The 8,506-nt window shown below is 39.7% G+C and overlaps 1 annotated feature.

Moving 5' to 3' along the window:
- Positions 6,159-6,742: an enhancer, noted in NCBI's record as "NANOG-H3K27ac-H3K4me1 hESC enhancer chr6:98864666-98865249 (GRCh37/hg19 assembly coordinates)". NCBI's record gives its function as "activates a minimal SCP1, AML or CMV promoter by ChIP-STARR-seq in naive H9 embryonic stem cells {active_cell/tissue: H9 hESC(naive)}" and the evidence as "EXISTENCE:reporter gene assay evidence [ECO:0000049][PMID:30033119]".

Below are 8,506 nucleotides of genomic sequence, written 5' to 3'. Positions count from 1 at the left end.
CATCACACCCTGTGGCCTGTCAGGGGTTGGGGGGCTAGGGGAGGGATAGCATTAGGAGAAATACCTAATGAAGATGATGGGCTGATGATTGCAGCAAACCACCATGGCACGTGTATACCTATGTAACAAACCTGCACGTTCTGCACATGTATCCCAGAACTTAAAGTGTAATAAAGAAAGATGAGGATTTCTACTTTAGCAAAAGCACTGGGCCCATTTCTTATGCTGTTCTGAGTTTGGAAGAGCTCAGCTGAGCCAAAATGAGTGCAGAGGGAGGTGAGATGCAGTCCCACTGAGATTTGCTTCATTATATAAAGGTGTTTTCAATTCTGCATCCAATAGCCTCAAATTGTAAGTGCTTTAGGACCAACCAAGTGTGAGATATTGCTCTAACAACAGTCATTGCATTCATTTAAAAAATGGGTATAGGTAGAGTTACTTATCTAAAGAAATGAAAGTAATACTTTCCTGTCTTCAGCTATAAAGTTGAGCTTGCAGTGACTCATTTAAAATGTTTTATTTATAATTGTTGGGTCAGTGGTTGGGAGGGAAATCCAAATTCTATATAGATAATAGAGTTCTCTAGTCCAGTGAATACTTGATTTTTTTTTTAAGTAAGCTTATGTTTGGTTAGTATTTACTATGTGGATACACTGATCTGCAGTTCTCAAGTACCAAATTCAAGTGTAAGTGAATTTAGATTTTATCAATAATCCTTTTTGATGCAGCACATATAAAAAATGTTAAGGGAAATGTGCCTGATGCCAGCTCATCTTTGAAGTGCAGACATTATAAGTCAATCACCAATAAGAACATAGTTTCCATTCTGCAGTATATATGTGTACAATGTATATTTCCTGACTAAAGGTTTATTATCAAGAAAACTAGCTACCAAACAGCACATCAGCACATCAGCTAGCCTCAGACCCTTAACAAATTTGCTTTTCTTCTTTTTTTCAGAGTCCACAGAGCTATTTTATTATTATTACTATTATTATTATTATTATTATTTTTAATTATATTTTAAGTTTTAGGGTACATGTGCACATTGTGCAGGTTAGTTACATATGTATACATGTGCCATGCTGGTGTGCTGCACCCACTAACTCGTCATTTAGCATTAGGTATATCTCCCAATGCTATCCCTCCCCCCTCCCCCCTCCCCACCACAGTCCCCAGAGTGTGATATTCCCCTTCCTGTGTCCATGTGATCTCATTGTTCAATTCCCACCTATGAGTGAGAATATGCGGTGTTTGGTTTTTTGTTCTTGCGATAGTTTACTGAGAATGATGGTTTCCAATTTCATCCATGTCCCTACAAAGGACATGAACTCATCATTTTTTATGGCTGCATAGTATTCCATGGTGTATATGTGCCATATTTTCTTAACCCAGTCTATCATTGTTGGACATTTGGGTTGGTTCCAAGTCTTTGCTATTGTGAATAATGCCGCAATAAACATACATGTGCATGTGTCTTTATAGCAGCATGATTTATAGTCCTTTGGGTATATACCCAGTAATGGGATGGCTGGGTCAAATGGTATTTCTAGTTCTAGATCCCTGAGGAATTGCCACACTGTCTTCCACAATGGTTCAACTAGTTTACAGTCCCACCAACAGTGTAAAAGTGTTCCTATTTCTCCACATCCTCTCCAGCACCTGTTGTTTCCTGACTTTTTAATGATTGCCATTCTAACTGGTGTGAGATGATATCTCACAGTGGTTTTGATTTGCATTTCTCTGATGGCCAGTGATGATGAGCATTTTTTCATGTGTTTTTTGGCTGCATAAATGTCTTCTTTTGAGAAGTGTCTGTTCATGTCCCTCGCCCACTTTTTGATGGGGTTGTTTGTTTTTTTCTTGTAAATTTGTTTGAGTTCATTGTAGATTCTGGATATTAGCCCTTTGTCAGATGAGTAGGTTGCAAAAATTTTCTCCCATGTTGTAGGTTGCCTGTTCACTCTGATGGTAGTTTCTTTTGCTGTGCAGAAGCTCTTTAGTTTAATTAGATCCCATTTGTCAATTTTGGCTTTGGTTGCCATTGCTTTTGGTGTTTTGGACATGAAGTCCTTGCCCATGCCTATGTCCTGAATGGTAATGCCTAGGTTTTCTTCTAGGGTTTTTATGGTTTTAGGTCTAACGTTTAAATCTTTAATCCATCTTGAATTGATTTTTGTATAAGGTGTAAGGAAGGGATCCACTTTCAGCTTTCTACCTATGGCTAGCCAGTTTTCCCAGCACCATTTATTAAATAGGGAATCCTTTCCCCATTGCTTGTGTTTCTCAGGTTTGTCAAAGATCAGATAGTTGTAGGTATGTGGCATTATTTCTGAGGGCTCTGTTCTGTTCCATTGATCTATATCTCTGTTTTGGTACCAGTATCATGCTGTTTTGGTTACTGTAGCCTTGTAGTATAGTTTGAAGTCAGGTAGTGTGATGCCTCCAGCTTTGTTCTTTTGGCTTAGGATTGACTTGGCGATGCGGGCTCTTTTTTGGTTCCATATGAACTTTAAAGTAGTTTTTTCCAATTCTGTGAAGAAAGTCATTGGTAGCTTGATGGGGATGGCATTGAATCTGTAAATTACCTTGGGCAGTATGGCCATTTTCACGATATTGATTCTTCCTACCCATGAGCATGGAATGTTCTTCCATTTGTTTGTATCCTCTTTTATTTCCTTGAGCAGTGGTTTGTAGTTCTCCTTGAAGAGGTCCTTCACATCCCTTGTAAGTTGGATTCCTAGGTATTTTATTCTCTTTGAAGCAATTGTGAATGGGAGTTCACTCATGATTTGGCTCTCTGTTTGTCTGTTGTTGGTGTATAGGAATGCTTGTGATTTTTGTACATTGATTTTGTATCCTGAGACTTTGCTGAAGTTGCTTATCAGCTTAAGGAGATTTTGGGCTGAGACGATGGGGTTTTCTAGATAAACAATCATGTCGTCTGCAAACAGGGACAATTTGACTTCCTCTTTTCCTAATTGAATACCCTTTATTTCCTTCTCCTGCCTCATTGCCCTGGCCAGAACTTCCAACACTATGTTGAATAGGAGTGGTGAGAGAGGGCATCCCTGTCTTGTGCCAGTTTTCAAAGGGAATGCTTCCAGTTTTTGCCCATTCAGTATGATATTGGCTGTGGGTTTGTCATAGATAGCTCTTATTATTTTGAAATACGTCCCATCAATACCTAATTTATTGAGAGTTTTTAGCATGAAGGGTTGTTGAATTTTGTCAAAGGCTTTTTCTGCATCTATTGAGATAATCATGTGGTTTTTGTCTTTGGCTCTGTTTATATGCTGGATTACATTTATTGATTTGCGTATATTGAACCAGCCTTGCATCCCAGGGATGAAGCCCACTTGATCATGGTGGATAAGCTTTTTGATGTGCTGCTGGATTTGGTTTGCCAGTATTTTATTGAGGATTTTTGCATCAATGTTCATCAAGGATATTGGTCTAAAATTCTCTTTTTTGGTTGTGTCTCTGCCGGGCTTTGGTATCAGAATGATGCTGGCCTCATAAAATGAGTTAGGGAGGATTCCCTCTTTTTCTATTGATTGGAATAGTTTCAGAAGGAATGGTACCAGTTCCTCCTTGTACCTCTGGTAGAATTCAGCTGTGAATCCATCTGGTCCTGGACTCTTTTTGGTTGGTAAACCATTGATTATTGCCACAATTTCAGCTCCTGTTATTGGTCTATTCAGAGATTCAACTTCTTCTTGGTTTAGTCTTGGGAGAGTGTATGTGTCGAGGAATGTATCCATTTCTTCTAGATTTTCTAGCTTATTTGCGTAGAGGTGTTTGTAGTATTCTCTGATGGTAGTTTGTATTTCTGTGGGATCGGTGGTGATATCCCCTTTATCATTTTTTATTGTGTCTATTTGATTCTTCTCTCTTTTTTTCTTTATTAGTCTTGCTAGCGGTCTATCAATTTTGTTGATCCTTTCAAAAAACCAGCTCCTGGATTCATTGATTTTTTGAAGGGTTTTTTGTGTCTTTATTTCCTTCAGTTCTGCTCTGATTTTAGTTATTTTTTGCCTTCTGCTAGCTTTTGAATGTGTTTGCTCTTGCTTTTCTAGTTCTTTTAATTGTGATGTTAGGGTGTCAATTTTGGATCTTTCCTGCTTTCTCTTGTGGGCATTTAGTGCTATAAATTTCCCTCTACACACTGCTTTGAATGCATCCCAGAGATTCTGGTATGTTGTGTCTTTGTTCTCATTGGTTTCAAAGAACATCTTTATTTCTGCCTTCATTTCGTTATGTACCCAGTAGTCATTCAGGAGCAGGTTGTTCAGTTTCCATGTAGTTGAGCAGCTTTGAGTGAGATTCTTAATCCTGAGTTCTAGTTTGGTTGCACTGTGGTCTGAGAGATAGTTTGTTATAATTTCTGTTCTTTTACATTTGCTGAGGAGAGCTTTACTTCCAATTATGTGGTCAATTTTGGAATAGGTGTGGTGTGGTGCTGAAAAAAATGTATATTCTGTTGATTTGGGGTGGAGAGTTCTGTAGATGTCTATTAGGTCCACTTGGTGCAGAGCTGAGTTCAATTCCTGGGTATCCTTGTTGACTTTCTGTCTCGTTGATCTGTCTAATGTTGACAGTGGGGTGTTAAAGTCTCCCATTATTAATGTGTGGGAGTCTAAGTCTCTTTGTAGGTCACTCAGGACTTGCTTTATGAATCTGGGTCCTCCTGTATAGGGTGCATATATATTTAGGATAGTTAGCTCCTCTTGTTGAATTGATCCCTTTACCATTATGTAATGGCCTTCTTTGTCTCTTTTGATCTTTGTTGGTTTAAAGTCTGTTTTATCAGAGACTAGGATTGCAACCCCTGCCTTTTTTTGTTTTCCATTTGCTTGGTAGATCTTCCTCCATCCTTTTATTTTGAGCCTATTTGTGTCTCTGCACGTGAGGTGGGTTTCCTGAATACAGCACACTGATGGGTCTGGACTCTTTATCCAACTTGCCAGTCTGTGTCTTTTAATTGGAGAATTTAGTCCATTTACATTTAAAGTTAATATTGTTATGTGTGAATTTGATCCTGTCATTATGATGTTAGCTGGTGATTTCGCTCGTTAGTTGATGCAGTTTCTTCCTAGTCTCGATGGTCCTTACATTTTGGCATGATTTTGCAGTGGCTGGTACCGGTTGTTCCTTTCCATGTTTAGCGCTTCCTTCAGGAGCTCTTTTAGGGCAGGCCTGGTGGTGACAAAATCTCTCAGCATTTGCTTGTCTGTAAAGTATTTTATTTCTCCTTCACTTATGAAGCTTAGTTTGGCTGGATATGAAATTCTGGATTGAAAATTCTTTTCTTTAAGAATGTTGAATATTGGCCCCCACTCTCTTCTGGCTTGTAGGGTTTCTGCCGAGAGATCCGCTGTTAGTCTGATGGGCTTTCCTTTGAGGGTAACCCGACCTTTCTCTCTGGCTGCCCTTAACATTTTTTCCTTCATTTCAACTTTGGTGAATCTGACAATATGTGTCTTTGAGTTGCTCTTCTCGAGGAGTATCTTTGTGGCATTCTCTGTATTTCCTGAATCTGAACATTGGCCTGCCTTGCTAGATTGGGGAAGTTCTCCTGGATAATATCCTGCAGAGTGTTTTCCAACTTGGTTCCATTCTCCACATCACTTTCAGGTACACCAATCAGACGTATATTTGGTCTTTTCACATAGTCCCATATTTCTTGGAGGCTTTGCTCATTTCTTTTTATTCTTTTTTCTCTAAACTTCCCTTCTCGCTTCATTTCATTCATTTCATCTTCCATTGCTGATACCCTTTCTTCCAGTTGATCGCATTGGCTCCTGAGGCTTCTGCATTCTTCACGTAGTTCTCCAGCCTTGGTTTTCAGCTCCATCAGCTCCTTTAAGCACTTCTCTGTATTGGTTATTCTAGTTATACATTCTTCTAAATTTTTTTCAAAGTTTTCAACTTCTTTGCCTTTGGTTTGAATGTCCTCCCGTAGCTCAGAGTAATTTGATCGTCTGAAGCCTTCCTCTCTCAGCTCGTCAAAATCATTCTCCATCCAGCTTTGTTCCGTTGCTGGTGAGGAACTACGTTCCTTTGGAGGAGGAGAGGTGCTCTGCGTTTTAGAGTTTCCAGTTTTTCTGTTCTGTTTTTTCCCCATCTTTGTGGTTTTATCTACTTTTGGTCTTTGATGATGGTGATGTACAGATGGGTTTTCGGTGTGGATGTCCTTTCTGTTTGTTAGTTTTCCTTCTAACAGACAGGACCCTCAGCTGCAGGTCTGTTGGAATACCCTGCCGTGTGAGGTGTCAGTGTGCCCCTGCTGGGGGGTGCCTCCCAGTTAGGCTGCTCGGGGGTCAGGGGTCAGGGACCCACTTGAGGAGGCAGTCTGCCCGTTCTCAGATCTCCAGCTGCGTGCTGGGAGAACCACTGCTCTCTTCAAAGCTGTCAGACAGGGACACTTAAGTCTGCAGAGGTTACTGCTGTCTTTTTGTTTGTCTGTGCCCTGCCCCCAGAGGTGGAGCCTACAGAGGCAGGCAGGCCTCCTTGAGCTGTGGTGGGCTCCACCCAGTCTGAGGTTTCCGGCTGCTTTGTTTACCTAAGCAAGCCTGGGCAATGGCGGGCGCCCCTCCCCCAGCCTCGCTGCCGCCTTGCAGTTTGATCTCAGACTGCTGTGCTAGCAATCAGTGAGATTCCGTGGGCATAGGAACCTCCGAGCCAGGTGTGGGATATAGTCTCGTGGTGCGCCGTTTTTTAAGCCGGTCTGAGAAGCGCAATATTCGGGTGGGAGTGACCCGATTTTCCAGGTGCGTCCGTCACCCCTTTCTTTGACTCAGAAAGGGAACTCCCTGACCCCTTGCGCTTCCCAGGTGAGGCAATGCCTCGCCCTGCTTCGGCTCGTGCACGGTGCTCGCACCCACTGGCCTGCGCCCACTGTCTGGCACTCCCTAGTGAGATGAACCCGGTACCTCAGATGGAAATGCAGAAATCACCGGTCTTCTGCATCGCTCACGCTGGGAGCTGTAGACCGGAGCTGTTCCTATTCGGCCATCTTGGCTCCTCAACAAATTTGCATTTTTAAGTCCAGTGTAACTGAGATAGATGTACCATTGATATTATATACATGCTCTTTAAAACTGTCTTCATGGTTTATATGAACCTAAGCAACCAAAATTAAAATGAATGCCATGAGAAATGAGATGATAGAGCCATCTGTATTAGATTAACACTGTTGTTCAGAAAGATGAGTCCTGTATACCAGATGTTAGAAGAAGAAAGAAGGTGGAGTACATTGTCAGGGATTCTAGTACAAACATATATTGCTGGAGTTGCTGAACTGCTGGCTCTAACTGGCACAACTAGGCGAGTTGGAAATGAGCTGTCTGTATGACACAGTGGCATTGTTCAACTTGAAGGCAAAGGAATAAAGCCAGAAACAGAGCTAATGACTGCAGTCATAATACCATTTTTAAAAATGACTTCAGATCAAGTTGTGCATGGATTTCCACGTGAAATACACAAGTTAACACTCTGATCTCTTTCATCTATTTTTATAAAGGATCATTCTATAGAGTTCAAGATATTCTAAAAAATGTAGATATTATTTGTGAAAGGTGGAGAGCTGATTAGTGGGTCTCAATTCAGTGGGATGATTCACTCAAAAATGTGAATGGGCATTCTTAACGGTCCTCACCTGACTGAATGTACTTTTGAATGAATTAATAAATTAAAAGTTGCAAGGTATTTTAGGAAGTTTTGAGATAAAAAAGGATATGAAAATGAAGTAAAATTATCATTAGACAATCCTATTATAGTAACATAAAGTAGGTTACATTTTGTTTTATATTCAGTAGTAAAGGAAATACTATTGAATTACAAAGTTTATTTACTTCCTTGAAGGTAGCTATTTTTGATTTCTCAATTTCAGTGCCTGTAGTTCCCTATCTTCAAATTAAATCATGACCAATTTCTCTCTGGCTTTAGGTGTTTCCATGGCTCAAATGTCACATGAAATTTTGTTTTATATTCTTATTCTTTAATTTGTTAGGTCACCTTTTTGTGGAGTGACCTAACCAAGGTAAGAGATAAGACTATGTTTTAACATCTGTAGCTCAAATATTTAACTGATACCTTTTATTTATATATTTTTTAAAAAATTAATAGTGTGCTTATTTAATTTTGATTTGTTTACATATCCTGCACCTTCCTGGCTTTGCCACTATCTATTCCTATGACTTCTGGGAGACATTTAACATCAACAAGTCTAAATTTCCCTATCTATGTAATAGGATTAATGAGATTACAGTGTGAAGTTTCTTCAGTTGTATATTTTACTAAGAAGCTGTTTAGAATATTTTGATGCCACATCATTAATTAAAAATTTTAAATATGGACAGTTTAAATTTAGATAAGGAGAGTTTTTTCTAGTTAATTCTTTCTTTCTGAATCATGAAAGAATTGTATGAGAGGTTTGTAGATGTCAGCAGCTATGTAGGTTGGGTACTGTGTTAAATTTTTTCACGTTAAAACTGAATGGGTC

Source organism: Homo sapiens, chromosome 6, assembly GCF_000001405.40.
Source record: "Homo sapiens chromosome 6, GRCh38.p14 Primary Assembly".
Taxonomy (NCBI): Eukaryota; Metazoa; Chordata; class Mammalia; order Primates; family Hominidae; genus Homo; species Homo sapiens.
The sequence above is the reverse complement of the archived record's forward strand: the minus strand, read 5'-3'. Positions and strand labels throughout refer to the sequence as shown.